At 37.0% G+C, this 16,396-nt stretch overlaps 1 protein-coding gene across 21 annotated transcripts in view, besides 1 other annotated feature; it reads right to left on the reverse strand.

Moving 5' to 3' along the window:
• Positions 1 to 16,396, reverse strand: part of DMD (dystrophin) — a 2,220,167-nt gene that overhangs the window by 315,862 nt on the left and 1,887,909 nt on the right. For all 21 annotated transcript variants that reach the window (XM_006724469.4, NM_000109.4, XM_011545467.2 and 18 more), the window contains 1 exon segment: positions 9,398 to 9,544. In XM_006724469.4, coding sequence (XP_006724532.1) covers positions 9,398 to 9,544 — 147 coding nt within the window.
• Positions 482 to 992: an enhancer, noted in NCBI's record as "NANOG hESC enhancer chrX:31453682-31454192 (GRCh37/hg19 assembly coordinates)". NCBI's record gives its function as "activates a minimal SCP1, AML or CMV promoter by ChIP-STARR-seq in naive H9 embryonic stem cells {active_cell/tissue: H9 hESC(naive)}" and the evidence as "EXISTENCE:reporter gene assay evidence [ECO:0000049][PMID:30033119]".

Genomic DNA, 16,396 nt, shown 5'->3' on the forward strand with positions numbered 1-16,396 from the left:
GACCACAGGCAAGTCACTTAACCCTTGGGCTCCTCATTTTTCTAACCTGTAAAATGAGGTTAAAATTGTACCTCCCTCACTGGGTTACGTGAGGCTTAAAAGCATTAGCACATGCAAAAGTGCTTATAATTGTGAATGGCATACAGTAAGTGCTAGGTAAGTTCTCACTATTAATCTCAGTAAGCGTAATGCTCACTAAAATTATTTTCAAATTTATACCATATGACTACATTGATTGTCTGAATAAAGTAAAACTATGTATAAAGGCTGTACTTCTGATATAAGAATCATCTTCTAATTTATTATATTTCCACCCTCCCGTCTCCTTTAGTAAATTAATTAATATATTAAGGGAGAGGACAACTTATATCACAGTGATCATTATATTAAGGACATTATAGCATTTATAAAAATAAAGAAGTATTATGATAAACTGTATGAATTTGAAATTCACTTTGTGGTATTTACCTTTAAAAGTAGCATTTCTGAATTTCATACGCTAGTTTCCATTCCCCTTTATGGAGTTGGCTTTAACACGCAGCTTCTCATGTGGCCTGAAAGGGGATTCTTTCTACTTTCTAGAGGAATGTGCTGTGAAGGAGGAGTCGGGAATCTTACTGGCGGCCATGTGAGAACAGCAGCTCTTTGAATGCTGGGTATGATGTAGCATGGGAACTGTGAGCAGCTACTGGCGGAGTGTTTCACATGCAGCGCAGCGGGGCAGTGGGAAAGGCAATGAAGAAAACAACCAGTGCAAACAAATGCAGAAGAAAGGGTGGGGCGGGGTCAAACTCCAGGGAAGGAGAGAGGTCAGCCCAGAGAGACAAGAACACTTACAAGAACAAAGAATAAAGCAGTGAGAAATTGGAGACAAGGGCAAATGTCAGTTGCAGAATAAGGGAAAAGGACAAGAAAACATGACCATCATGGCAATTTTAAATGCCTGGAATTATATACATGTTTCTAGTAAGGAACTAGAGGTCTCAGGAAACTAAAATAAATACATGCATGCATAAATACATTTTGCTATTTAAACACATTTACTAGGAACACATTCCATTTTTAAAAACAATAATAAACACACTTACATGGATTACCATAATAGCTAGCCTTAGAACTAGCAAAAATAGTTCCCGATTAAAACAAATTAGAAATTAGTATATAAAGATCAAGCAATCAAGTAGCCTAATTAATACTTTATAATGATTTGGGTTCACTTTATAAAATATCTGAAAATAATAATATGCTTTTCATTCTCTTAAATTCATAAATATTTCTTTGGCTCCTGATGGCTTCATTCCCATTTTATACTTCATATAATTTTTTCATCACATTCTGTACATCGTTCATTTATCCCCCTGTAGTTTCACACATCCTGATGCCTTCAAAAAAAAAAAATAGAGAATTCCCTTGAAAACCAGACCATTCTTCTCCTAGGGTGAGAAAGACAGACTCTGGAATATTTGGGCCATATTAGTTTCAAGGCTACCTGAGCAATTTCGATAACAGTCCTCTTGACTAAAGTACAATTAGTTGTACAAACATTGAAAACCAAATGTTCTTAAGCTTGACAGTACGCTTTGACCTCAGTATGCTCTAAGGGTGGTCACTAACCTGGGCATTTAAATTTATACTCTCCTTCTTCAATTCTTTAAAGGGTTTTGTTTACATCCTTTTTTTCCTAACAGAGTTGAGGTTAAGCATAAATGATTATTCTCTCCTTACTGAAAAGATGTTTTCCTGGAACTTAATTGTCCTTTTTTCACGGGTCATTCTATTCCTAATATCAACAAATCCTTCTGTGACCTAACCTTTTCAAAAACAAACACATACTTCTTTCTTTTTTTTATTTCCTTTACTTTTAGCTTTTACAAAACTCTGGCCAGTGGGCACATCAGACTAGATATTATAGTTGAAATATTTACATAAGAGCAACCTATAGTTTAGAATATGTTAGAGCAGTTTTTCCTACATCTTACTGCAGTATTTTGGGAGAGGTGCTTTCTAATTTGTTTTAACCCTGTGTATTTCTCAATAACATTCCAAAAACTGGAGAATTGCCACATAATAAAAGTACTACTTAGTATCTGCTAATTGAGAAAAGGCTATTAGCTGATAAAAACTTGTATGCTTTGTAACACAACTGCTTTACTTACAAAAACCAGTGGTATATGGGCAACATAATTTTGTATTCAAGCTACAGACAATGCTTGATGCAAAAATATATTTTTGCACCTCTCTGTAAAACTCTATCATCTGTAGTTTGGGAATGAATTTCTATATGTGGTTACAAATAGACAGCATCTCCTGGGAGCATGATAGAAATGCAGAATTGCAGGCCTCACCCGATACTAAATTTCTGGGGGCGGATTGGTTTAACAAGCTTTGCAGGTGATTCTTATCCATGCTAGATTTTGAAAACTTTTAGGCCAATGCTATCCAACAGAAATATAATGAGTGCTACATGTACAATTTTAAATGTTCTAGTAGGCACATGTAAAAATTTTGCAGAAACACTGCCCATTGTTGTAGCCGAAGCAACAGGCTCACTTCATTCATTTTCAAGAAAAATAACCAAGTTTGAATAATCATAATAAATGAGTGAAATTCATTATGACATTTTACCCAAGCAAATACATAAAAATACTATCATTTCAACATGTAATCAATATAAAAATAATGAGATATTTTACATTCTTTTTTTGGTACTAAGTCTTTGCATCCTGATATATATATATATATATAACATATACATATTACATATATATCATATATATAACATACATATTACATCTATATCATATATATAACATATACATATTACATGTGTATATATTACGCTTACTACACATCTCACTTTCGACTGGCTACATTGAAGGGCTCAATGGCCATATGTAGCTATCATATTGGACAGCACAGTTCTAGACCATGTGATTTGAAATACAGTAAATATAAATCCATATAGCAGCAAATTGTGTTTCTGGGGATCTATTAACAGTTTCCCTTCATCCTCCACGTTTCCCTTTATCTTCCTCTTTCTGCCTCATAGAAAAGTTAAGTGCTTGGTTCTCCATGATCCTGCAGCACTTGAACACTCCTCCAACACAGAGTTTTTGGGATGGCATTATACTTAATTTCCCCAGAGTCTAAACCCTTCACAGTGTCTTACAGAAGTCATATATATATTTTTTTAACTTTTAAATTTGTCTGTACCTGACAAGTACTTAACATAGAACAGGGGTTATCAAAGTGTGGTCCATGATTCAGCAGCATTAGCCTCACTTGAAAGTTTGTTAGAGATGCAGATTCTCAAGCTCCACACCAGACCCACTGAATCATTTGAAACTTGGTATGTGGAGCCCAGTTATCTGTGTTTTAATAAGCCTTCCAGGTGAATTTGATGCTTGTTAAAATTTGAGAACCACTAATGTAGGAAAACATATTTATTTGGAGAATGGCCTCATATTTATCATTTTCTCCTGAGTTCTGTGGTAGAACCACAAGCTGAATCATTTTAGTCTTCTTAAAGAAAGAAAAAGTCAAGAAGGACATGCTAGAAAGACATCGGTAGATGTCTTCTCCTTATCCCCAGTTAGTGATAGGCCGACATTATTTGTAAGAGCAGATGGCTAGGCTCTCTGTCCAGAAGTGACCCCATAATGCAAAATGATTAGTACAGGATCATTAAAAAACAAAAAAGAAAGATATGAGGAAAATGTTCAAAATCTGTCAACACATTTAAAGGATCAAATCCTGTGCTCAATGATGGTAAGAACAAACATACATAGATACAGATAAAAGACCTGCTTAGAAAATCCTATCTCACCAAAGTAAAGAATATAAATGGTTCTGATATAAGAATTGCTTGTTGGAAAAAAACTGGTTAGTTTTTTTAAAATGAAGCCACACAAATACTCCTATTGTTTAGCTAACTATGATCCCATCACATCCTCTCACAAAGCTTACTACTATGACTATATAGACCAAGTTTCCAGTAAGAAATTATTGAATAATTTGTAAACCAGAGATAATAATGGGTACTGCTTTTGTAGTATCAGTGTTATGATAGTATGTAAGTATGTATATTTCTGGTTTTTAACACTGAGAAAGGATGAGAGGGGTGGGCCATCATGGAAGTAATAAAAGAGAACCCATCTTTAAAGCTTTACTTAATATAGCATAAGCAGTAAAGGGAGTTTTGTTTAGTATGTCCTTGGACCAAACAGGATCATTACAATGTCTTCTAGGTACACAGTAGATGCTCAATCAGTGCTGACTGAATGAAAGAACAAAGGGATGAAAGAAGGAATGAAGTTTGCAAAAGATGAGGCTCTAGATCCCTGCGACAGCAAGTTACCACAGAGGTATACAGATGGAGTGTAATGATGTCTACATGACTTTGGAAGAAGCTTAGGAAACCTTTAAAAAACATACATAATTTATGATACTGTTCTTTGACATATGTAAAGAATCTAATAGCTGGAAATGCCTTCATATTATTCAGATTTTAAAGGTGTTTGCATTCCATGAGTTCCTACAGTCAATAAAACAAATACTCCTTATGTTAAAGTGTTTTTGCAGCTTTTGTGCTATTTGTGGGTTTACTCATGAGTAAAGAAAAATGGTATAATATTCCTTTATATACTACTTGCGCTTGGTGAATAAAGAGATTGACTGCATTACTCAGTGTGTGTACTATTTCAAAATTAGAAAGGTTTATCATCATTTTAACTTTTTTCTCACCTGGTTTAGATATTCGTTTCTACTTGGTCAAATATTAGCATTAGTTTGGCTTTAAGAGCTGATTCACTGAAATCACTTTTGGCTGATTTTAGTACAATTGCTGAGTTCTAAAGGCAATGAGGAATATAATGCTTTAAAATTTTATATTTGAAACAAGTGTGATTTCTAAGGGGTACACTGAACTGGGTTCATTAATCCATTGGTTTATAAAAGGAAGATTTAAAAGTTAATATACCTAAGAATCATTTCAAAAAAGAAGATACATGTAAAAAAGTGAAGTATTTTACACCTGTATTGTCCAAAATAGTTTTAAAGTATTGCTTTTTTTTTTTTTTTTTGGAAATGGTGTCTTGCTCTGTTGCCCAGGCTGGAGTGCAGTGGCATGATCTCAGCTTACTGCAACATCCGCCTCCCGGGTTCAAGCGATTCTCCTGCCTCAGCTTCCCAAGTAGCTGATCTACAAGCGTGCGCCACCACACCCAGCTAATTTTTGTATTTTTAGTAGTGATGGGGTTTCACTATGTGTTGGCCAGGCCGGTCTTGAACTCCTGATCTCAAGTGATCCACCCGCCTCACCCTCCCAAAGTACTGGGATTACAGGCGTGAGCCACCACACCCAGCCATTATTGCTTTGTTAAGTCCAAACGTAATAGGATTTTGAGAAGAGGAGACAAAAAGAGCATGGGAATAGCAGTTCGAAAAACCTGACTCAGATCTTGACTGATACAAGTTATGTGACTGTGACTGTGGTACTTCATGTTTCTAAGCCTCGGTTTCCTTACACGTAAAAGGGAATAATGATAATAGGTAATCATAATCATAATACAAAATCACAAGGTTGTGATTCTTAGATGAGAGAATGCACATGAGGACTTTTTCTAACTGCAAGGAGTGATGGTTTCCTACACCACAAAAAGTCAAATGGTCAAATAGTAACATGCATACCAATGTGTCTACTTTGAGGAAGAAAATAGGACTTCATTCCCACAGAAAATTTCAAACAGGCAAACCAATGTCTCTTACATTTCTATTAGAAGATTCAAAGTCAGTTTGGAATTCTCTATACATTATGATTCTATACATAGGTAAATTGTGACTGGGTTTGACTGTATTGTTGGTGCTCACATCCCTTAACTGGTTTCACCATTTTGACTGATATTACAGACAGCTAAAAAACTAGCATGGCTTTCCTTGAAAATTAAATGAATGGATAATGCAAAGAACCCAGGATATTCTGATATCAAGTAGACACGGCCTGATAGTATGTAACTCTAATCTTTCTATTATACTATTTTGCCCAAATTTAAGACTCTTCTTCTTTTCTCAGGTTTACATCTGCCTTTCTACTACTCCAGTTCTCTATTTTTATTTTATTTTATTTTATTTTTGAGACCGAGTCTGGCTCTGTCGCCCAGGCTGGAGTGCAGTGGCACGATCTCAGCTCACTGCAACCTCTGCCTCCTGGTTTCAAGCAATTCTCCTGCCTCAGCCTCCAGAGTAGCTAGGATTACAGGCACGCACCACCACACCCAGGTAAGTTTTGTATTTTTAGTAGAGATGAGGTTTCACCATGCTGGTCAGGCTGGTGTCAAACTCCTGACCTCAAGTGATCCGCCTGCCTCGGCCTCCCAAAGTGCTGGGATTACAGGCGTGAGCCACCATGCCCAGAGAGTTCTTTACTTTTTGATTGTTCTTTGTCTTAGTGGACAGAGGCAAAGATGAACTTGTACTTGGTTTTTATCACGATTTAAAGATTGACATAGCATTGTGACTAAATTCTTTATTTTCATAGAAATATGTCTTTTTTGACATTTACTATTTAAAAAAATATGATGTCATAATGGTGGTGGGCTCAAGCTTCCCGCCATAGAACTTGGATAATGCGTTAGCCTCACATACATTGTTCTAAATATAAAATATTCTCAACAGGATGTATGAATTGCTTTTCCAGTAATGGGAAAAAAATTGCTTGATGTGAACCTCATTTCTTGCTTTCTTCTCTTTCTGAACAAGGCCTCACATTTATAATGTAGCAGAATTACTATCAAAGAAAAGAATGGAACTAACTTGACTCGGTTATATGCAAACCAAAACCTTGGATTTATCAGCTTTCTGCTAAAAACACTTTTTAAGCATATCTTTAAGGTCATGTTCAAAAATAGAAACATGAAATTTGCTACAATATAGAGCAGACACCACAAACTGAACTGTTTAATAGGAGAAGGCTGTGTATATGTGGGTTTAGGGAAGAAGAGATTAAAAGTTAGAGTTATACAAGGAGAAATATAATTTCAACAAACCACATTTGTATTATGAATAAAGAAAGGAACTTCATTGGTTTTAAACTAAATTCTGTCAAATGTGTATCTCCCCCAGATATCTAGAGACAGAATCATAAGATTGAACTGTATGTGACCTTAGACAAAATAGATTTCTGCATTTTAAAAATGAGGAGAATTAAAGCTGAGAGAGGTTAAATGGCTTTCTCACAATAACACGGTCAAATAATGGCTGAGCTTAAGTTTGAAGTTAGACCTCCTAATAGTCAATCCAATGCTCTTTTCGCTATATCATACTATCTCCTTACATGTGTTTTCCTGTACTTATAACCAAGTTTTTACTCATTGTAAAGAATGGCTACATAGTAAGCTATTTACTGTTTTTGATACCTTAAATGCAAATAAATAGTGCAACTAGAATGGATCACTTAGCATTGATTAAAAAAAAAAAAACTTTTCTTACTAGTCATAATCCTTTGACCTCATTTGGAAATCTACCTGCCACTGTCACAAATCTTTTACCACGTTCTGAAAGCAAACGTGGCATTCTGCTCTCTAAAAGAAATTATAAAATATACTTCTAGAACACTTATATGGGACTAATGTGGCCATTGGTTTTCTTTGGACATTTATTACTTTCCTTATTTATACTTAAGATGAAAAACATACTAAGGATGGAACAGATAAAATTTTAATAGTACTCAACTACTATGGAGCAAACAGAGAAAGGCATATAATCACTTAGCTATATCGCCTTGCTTTAGTCGATGCCACTTATAACAATCTAGAATACAAATCTTTCAGGACTATCCATCACAACAAGAATTAAATTATGTGAGATCTCAAGAGGTCTGGGATTTGCAACTTATCTTTATTAAAGATCTAGCAATTCTTTAACAGGCCTCTCAATCACACCCCTAAATGGACTGACAATAGGAAAGTGATTTGGTTTATTATATTTTTCTTATTAAAAAGTTAAAACCAAATAGTTTTAAACCCAGTTTCCTCAGAGGCATACCTTCTGCATCCTGTTGGAAAGGAGAAAATTGGAAAGGAGAGAAAATGATTCTCTAATTCTACGGTTAAACTAATTTTAGGGTTTTGGGGTATAACATGGTGTCCTTCACACTGAGAAGGTAGACGCACCTCTTCCACCACTACAACCATTACTCTGCATGAATTAACTCATTCGATGTTACAGTAACCATGTTAGAGATGAGTAAATGGACAACCACAGAGATTAAGTGGCCTCAAGGTCACTCAGCTAATATGTTGGATTCCAAAACCTGTGTACTGTAATAATAATAATAATAACAACATCAAGAGCTAGAATTTGTAGAGTGTTTATCATTTGGCATGTTCGCTCCCGAGCACTTTCCATTTATTTTGACTTATTCATCCTAATAATAAACTGATATTGCAGAGAATTTTATTATCGCATTTTTTTTTTTTTGATGAAAGACTGAGGCTCAGAAAGGTTAAGTAATTTGCTCCAGGTCCCATGGCTAGTAAGTGTGACCTTGAGCAGCACACTTACATTGCCTGTATTTATTACGCAAACCTACGAAAAACTTCCACATGTAAGTTTGTGATAGGATGCTCTTTCTTTAAATGACTTTTGGACACATCTTACTATTGACTCTTGTTTAAATTAGGATTCTAAAGGGAAAGATGTTTTTGAGAATCCAAGCAGTAAGAGTACAAAGGAACTGCATGGTGGCAATTCACATCTTCCATCATGATTCAGCATTATTTTCTGTTTATCGTAAGAATACTGCTACACAGAGTTTGGATGTTCCCTCTAACTCGCGTGTTGAAATCTGATCCCCCGTGTTGGTGGTGAGGCCTAGTGGAAGGTGTCTGGGTTGTAGGAGTGAATCCCTCATGAATGGTTTGGTGCCATTCTCACGGTAGTGAGCGAGGTTTTGCTCTAGCAGTTTTCATGAGAACTGGCACCTCCCCTCCCTCTTTTTCTCCTCCTCTCTTGCCGTGTGATCTTTGTACACCAGCTCCCCTTTGCCTTCTGCCATGAGTGGAAGCAGCCTGACGCCCTCGCCAGAAGCAGATGCTTCTTGTACAGCCTGCAGAACTGAGCCAAATAAACACCTGTTCTTTATGAATTACCCAGCCCCAAGTATTCTTTTATAGCAACACTAAACAGACTAAGACATATACTAAGTCTTAGTTGCTTCCAAAATTAATATTAATAATTTGAAAATGTTTAGATGGGAATTATAAACTAATATAAAATATCCTATCCTCACAAATATTACCATGAACATTACATGAAAAAAGTACTTTCATTGTTCTTTACAAATTTTATCTGTATATTATTTTACTGTAACAAAGGACAACAATGTTTACAATGTGCTTACCTGCAGAAGCTTCCATCTGGTGTTCAGGTCTTCCAGAGTGCTGAGGTTATACGGTGAGAGCTGAATGCCCAAAGTGGTAAGCTGGCGAGCAAGGTCATTGACGTGGCTCACGTTCTCTTTCAGAGGCGCAATTTCTCCTCGAAGTGCCTGTGTGCAATAGTCAAAAGCAAATTGGAAGATGAGAATATTTAAAACAAGAAGAACTGATACCTGGGCTTATTCTCTTTAGGGTGCAGTGCCAGTAATGTTTGCTCTATGCTACGGTTTGAATGTTTGTGTCCCCCCTCAAATTCCTATGTTGAAATCCTAAAAAATAAAAAGGAAACGAAATCAAAACACCTAAGGCAATGGTATTAGGAGATGGGGCCTTTAGGGAGGTGATTTTTGGGATTAGCGCCCTTATAAAAGAGACCTCAGAGAGCTAGCTAGCTCCTTTCAGCATGTGAGGGTGCAGTGAGAAGGTGCTTTGTATGAGGAATGGGCCTTCCCCAGACACCAAATCTGCTGGTATTTTGATCTTGGACTTCTCAACCTCCAGAACAGTGAGAAATAAGTTTTTGTTGTTTCACAAGCTATCCAATTTATGGCATTTCTATTATAGCAGCTGGAACAGACTAAGACAGTCTCTTGTGGTAGTATTATAACAATGGATATTTGTTAATGGGGGAATAATGATAACTACTATTTGTTGAGCACTTCCTAGGTGCCTAATGCCATGATGAGCTCTATTCATACATAAACTGATTTTATTTCTACCCAACAATCCTATGAGGCCAGTAGTTGGAGAATTCTAATTTTATACATGAGAAAACAAACTTGCAGAGGTTTGTTTTCAAAACAAACAAACCTTGCCAAGCTCTCATGGGTAAAAATTGAGGAACCTGGGATACCTATATGCAGGTTTGCCTGCCTCTAGAATATATATTCTTAACTATTATGTTATATGCTTCCCCTAAGAAATTCTGGATTGGCAAAGTAACAAGAAAAATATATTGCTGCTGGATTCTAAATTCTACTCATGTCACAACCAGAAATGGATCCTTATTTTTTACAATAGAAAGATATATTCAGTCATAAAATATTGCATGCATACTTTGCACCAACCACATCATAACAGTTTCATTTAGGGAGTAGGGTATTTTGTCAAGTCCTCAGAATGACTTCCTGATCTCCTGGTATTTTAGCCCTTGTAGCAATGACTTCAGAAGGCTCCCGTGGGGCTTCTCAGCTGTCTTTGAAGCACTAGAGCAGGAGTCTCTGATGCAATACATCATAGCAATCCGTTGAGCAGAAGAACCCTATGCAGATATGGGGAGGATATTACCACGCCTCATATCTACCCTATCGAGATGGCATTTATGGATCTTTAACATGATGCATGATGTCCAAATGTTCCAATAAGCAATTTCTAAGGGACAAATTCCCTCACTTAGGAGAACAGTTTGTGTAATGTAATGTCTGTGTACAAGGACAGCACCACTTGACTATACGTGTTGTTTTGACTTGCTTGATCTGGGCAGGTGTTATTTCTCTGTCTGGTTCACTATGTTGATAAAACCATTGGTTACACTGACCTCATTTATAAGCCTTGCATTTCCTCCCACTCCAAATAAAAGGAGCCAGTATGAACATTCAAAATAAGAACGACATTATCCTCTCAAATCAACCTGAATACTTCATCAGTAAACCGTGGTGCTGTATAGAGCATAACACTGTTGTGTAGTTCTTAGATAATACAAAACATTGTGATAATCACTCTGTTGAACTTAAAGTTTTAAAAAGTGGTCATTAAAAACATTACGTTAAGCAATCAGGGGGTTTCTTTTGGACGATAACGAAAATGTTCTGGTATTAAACAATGGTGATGGTGGCACAATCTTGTGAATATACTAAACACCACTGAATTGTACACTTTGAAAGAGTGAATTTTAAAGTATGTGAATTATATATTAATAAAAACAAACAAAAGAGAGCCCCTTCTGACCATACACATGCAAAAAAAAAATCATATGTGATGTATTCATCTGTATTCAACTTCGTGTTAGTGGAATGTCACTGGAATCAGTGTGAAATTCAGAAAGTTTTATAGGGGTGGATAGTAAATATTGTTCCATTTCCTTATGAATAAATACATGGATTAAAAGTATCAGAATAAGGGCCCATGGAGAAAGGTGGTTTAAATCCATATATATGAATACTTATCTCTAAAAGGAAATGATCCATATTAATTTTGTTTTGCATAATAGAAAGGTTAGAAAACAGATTTCTTAAATGTCAATGGGGGAAACTTGGACAAGGACAACGGTTACAAAATGAAATCATTCTCTTCTGGATAATAACGTGCATTTCTAGTAGCCACAAATAAATATCATGTGAGGGGAAACTGTAAACAGGAACCTCTGCAGAGAGGGCAAGCCAGCAGGCAGCATCTTTCAGTGATACAGGTGAGTCCTTTGTGCTAATCATCTCTCTTTACAAGCAAGACTCTCAAGCCATTAAGTTGATTATCCTACCTCGTTAAGCCATAGCTAGATTTCAGTTCCCTTTAGGTGACACAATGTACATTTTCAAATGTCTCTTATTAGAATATTTTGATTTTCATTTTCTCTCCCAAATTCCTGAGCACACATATTAATCCTGCTTCAATGTTTTGGAGGATGAAGGGGATTCAAAAATAAGTTTTGGTACTCATAATTAATTGCAATGCTCTCCCTTTTCCTCTTTTTTTTTCTTTTTAAAATTTACTTTTCTTCTTTAAACTTTACCATAAGATCTTGGGATTTTTTTTTTTTTTTTTTTTTTTTTTGCTTCTTTCAAGCAATGATAGTGGAAGTTCTCTGAACTAATCTCCACTTAAGACTCACCAAATTAGCCAAAGTCTTCATTCTCTTTGTGAAACAGCAGTGATGGGAACCTCTCACAGCCTCAATAAAATGTTCGAGGTGCCTGTCAGTATGTGTGGACCTTCTGCTCCCATCAGTTGACTTGTTACAACCGTCAGTTGTGTGTATGTTCTCAAACCTATCTTTGCCAGTAACTGTTGTGATTATGTAATTTAATAAAGAAAGATTTCCTAAATCATAAAAATATTAGTTTAAAAAGAAAAGAAAAAAGTTATTATTTCTATAAAAACCAGGCCAAATACTCTGGAGAGTTGCTTCAAAAAGAAAAAGAAAATAAATATTGTTGAAGTAGTTGTGAACAAGACAACTGCTAAAGATGAAGAAAACAACCCAGACCAGGTGGGGTGGCTCAAGACTGTAATCCCAGCACTTTGGGAGGCTGAGGTGGGTGGATGGGTGGATCACTTGAGGTCAGCAGTTCGAGACCAGACTGGCCAACATGGTGAAACCCTGTCTCTACTAAAGATACAAAAATTATTCGGGCGTGGTGGCACATGCCTGTAGTACCAGCTACTCAGGGGGCTGAGGCATGAGAAGCGCTTGAACCTGGGAGGTGGAGGTTGCAGTGAGCCAAGATGGCACCACTGCACTCACTCCAGCCTGGGTGACCCAGCAAGACTCTGTCTCCAAAAAAAAAAAAAAAAAAAAAAGAAAAAATGCCAAATATTCAGTTTAATCTGAATTCCTAAATTTCTGTTAAAATATTTGACAATGGAAGCTTTGACTGGTGTGAGGTCAGTTGATAAACAGATAACTGGGGGCAAAGGTTCACTTTGGGGAAGTCTCTAGATGGGGTTGAGCAGACTAAAGGACTTCAGTCAGCTAGAAATCATCATGAGGGCACTCAACGCATGAAGGTGGAAGAAAGGAGATAACAGATGGTAGGAAAGATAAAAAGGAAAAGGAGGCAGGAGAATGCTCATGTCAGTCTTCACTTTGGCATTTGATTTAGGTTTTGGTAGCAGCTTTTACCACCCAAGGATGGCTCACCACTGTGGGCTCTCAGTGCCCAGCAGCATACATAACAAGAAGTATGGCCGCCTAAACACAGAGTCACAAGACCTTCACCCTGTAAAGGGTGAACACAGGTACTTTGCTATTTAAATAGATGTGACATTGGTTTGGCTATATTTCACAGATTAGAGCTTTTAATATGACACACATAAATTTGTGTTTAAATTATTAAACACTACACCTAAAATGTCAAAAAGCACAGTTAACGCTGAGCAATACGAGGTGCTATTTAAGTGATATCAGGATTGCATTAGGTTTTTTTTCTAGTTTGGAAGCAGTAAGTGAGAAAACATTGAAGAAAGCCATTATATTGTGGGTTTTCTTTGAATCACTTAAACATCTGGAATATGTTCTCCATGAAAGAGCAAACCAAGTCTAATTTTATTATGACTAGTTTCTCACAGGCAGAATTTTCAGTTCATTAAATGTTGTCTGATTATAGATACAAAAGTACTGATTTAGAATGATAGGTAAGTCTGATATAATAAGTTTTTCTTCATATAAAATTAAATTGCCTGTCATATCTTTGCTTATCTTTATGTAGCTAAGGATTTGTTCAAATACACATTTAAAATTATAGTCATCTACTACTTTTCTAAGAAAATAAAGGAATTGTCTATTAACAAGGGAATCTTATTTTTGAGGGAGGAATTTTGACTTGACAGTTAAGAGAACATTCCTACTGCAAAGCACAGAAGGTCAGTTGGAAAGACTAGAAAGAGTAAATTGAGGGAATTCTGCTTGGAGGGGTTTTATTTCCTCTGTGAAGTAGGAATCAACAGACCTGGCATAGTCTGCAGTGCCTGGCATAGCGTGCAGTGCCTGGTGTGCAATGAATAGTCACTGAATGAAAACATGAATTAAGGGTAAGTGGGAACATTTGAATTAATCGTAATAGAGACTGTGAGAGGGAGTTGACCTAAGAGATGTAATGAGGTTGGCAAACAGTGTTGAGGGCCCACTTGAGGATGAGGTTCAACATTTTTTAGCAGAACCAATCTGCCTGACTTTCTCATTTTCTCCAACAGTGTTGCATGTAAGCATGGGGAAAACAGTTGATCCAGGTTTGGGGTTTCGTCAGATGACTGTGGCTCACACATTTAGGGATAAGGGAGTTTCGATATTAGCCAGGATGTAATTGAAAAAATATACTGTGGAATCTAAACTGGATTAGGAGGAAAGCAAAGCAAAATGAAGCTTGTAGATGGAGAGAAAGTAGAGGGGTCAGTTGTAGAAGTCCAGGATAATCCATAAAAGGCCACAGCAGGAGTAGCTGCACAAACAAGCGACAGAGAGGGGAGACTCTGGGATGCTCAGATTAGCTCTACTGGATTTGCCACTTATGAGTTTATTTATAAATGGTGTGATATATATATATATATATATATATATATATATATAGATAGATAGATAGATAGAAATCTGGCTATATATATATAAATATATATAGTGCTACTCAGTGTTTGAAAAACTTCCCTTCTTAGGGATATTAAATATTCCTCCTAAAATCTTAACCTGCTAACTCATAGACGTCCTATCTCACTTACTAGGAATTCAAAATTACTAGGTTCCAAAAATGAAGTGTTATTCTTGGGCTACATACACGTGCAGAGAAATTTATGTTACAAATATTACTTAAGTAGGGACTAATGGCATTGCTGTCTACCATGAATCCTTGTCAAACAAATGTTTGTTAACCAAGACTCTTGGAAAACAGCCTAAAAAGAGGAGGTGCTAGGAAAGAAAAGTCCCAGCATTCTTCATGCTGAGCTAGTCATGAGAAGGCAAGGATGAGCAATTAGAAATCATGTCCTATAAATACTGGTGTTTAGTACTTATTCCGGGGCTCTTCCTCGTGGTTCAGGGAAGCCCTCACAGAATGCAATTACCCGGGAATTGGCAGCAGGTACAGCCCAGCTATGTTTTGCAGCTCCTGCATTTCTCAGCAGATATATCATCCTCATGGGGCCAAGAGAGTCAAGGACTGTATCTTGCTTTTTCCAGAGGATCAGAGGCCTACTGGAATCTCTCAAATACCTGGGCGGAATGAGCTACTCAAATGCTGTTGAAACAATTAAAAAGAAACACAAGTTGAGCTGTAAGCAAGCCCTTCATGAAATGTATCAGGCTCAGAGACTTCCATCATTATCTGTAATTTTTGACTTTTCATTCTGGTTGGTTCCCTGACTGCTCTGATGCCCAGAATGTAGGTACAGCTTTTCTTTCAGATACCTACTGCCTTCAGCCAGGTTTAAGAGAAGCAGAGTCTGAGTGCTCTTAAGAAAAAGGGAGTGAGAGAAGCAGGAAGACAGGGCAAGAAAGTTAAGTTGGGATGTGGTATGGGCTGGAGACCAGCATCAATCTGGCCCCATGGGAATTCCCAGATCACAAATTGTACAACAGCAGGTGCCATGATGAGGCAAAGGGGTTTTCCCTTTGTACCCCTGGTGGTTTTAAGAGAGAAGGTGTGGTGGGACATGCCAGTCAAGGTGGCTTCCTTTTGGCTGAGGGAGGTTCTCTGGAAAGGGGTGAAACCATGAGGCTTTAGCAGCTAATACTCAGAGTCACTGAGGAATGGGTGCACCAACCCAGTGAACGAATCTGACTGGGGCACCAACAGCATCCATTACTTAGATTAACTTCATCTGCTTTCCCAATAGCCTTTACCCTTGAACTTCAGTTGTCAAGCACTTATATTTTGTTTTTTTTTTTTTTTCAGGAGACTTTTCTTTTCTTTTCTTCCTTCCTTCCTTCTTTTCTTTCTTTCCTTTTTTTATACAGGAGACTTCTTTCTTTCTTTCTTTCTTCCTTTCTTTTTTTCAAGAGACTTCTTTCTCTTTTTTCTTTCCTTCCTTCCTTCCTTCCTTTCCTTCCTTTCTTTCCTTTTTTTTTTTTTTTTTCCAAGGTGGAGTTTCACTCTTGCTGCCCAGGCTGGAGTACAATGGCACGATCTCGGCTCACTGCAACTTCTACCTCCTGGGTTCAAGTGATTCTCCTGCCTCAGCCTCCTGAGTAGCTGGGATTACAGGTGCCCGCCACCACGCCTGGCTAATTTTGTATTTTTAGAAGAGATGGGGTTTCA

The sequence above is a fragment of the Homo sapiens genome, chromosome X, assembly GCF_000001405.40.
Source record: "Homo sapiens chromosome X, GRCh38.p14 Primary Assembly".
NCBI classification, from domain to species: Eukaryota; Metazoa; Chordata; class Mammalia; order Primates; family Hominidae; genus Homo; species Homo sapiens.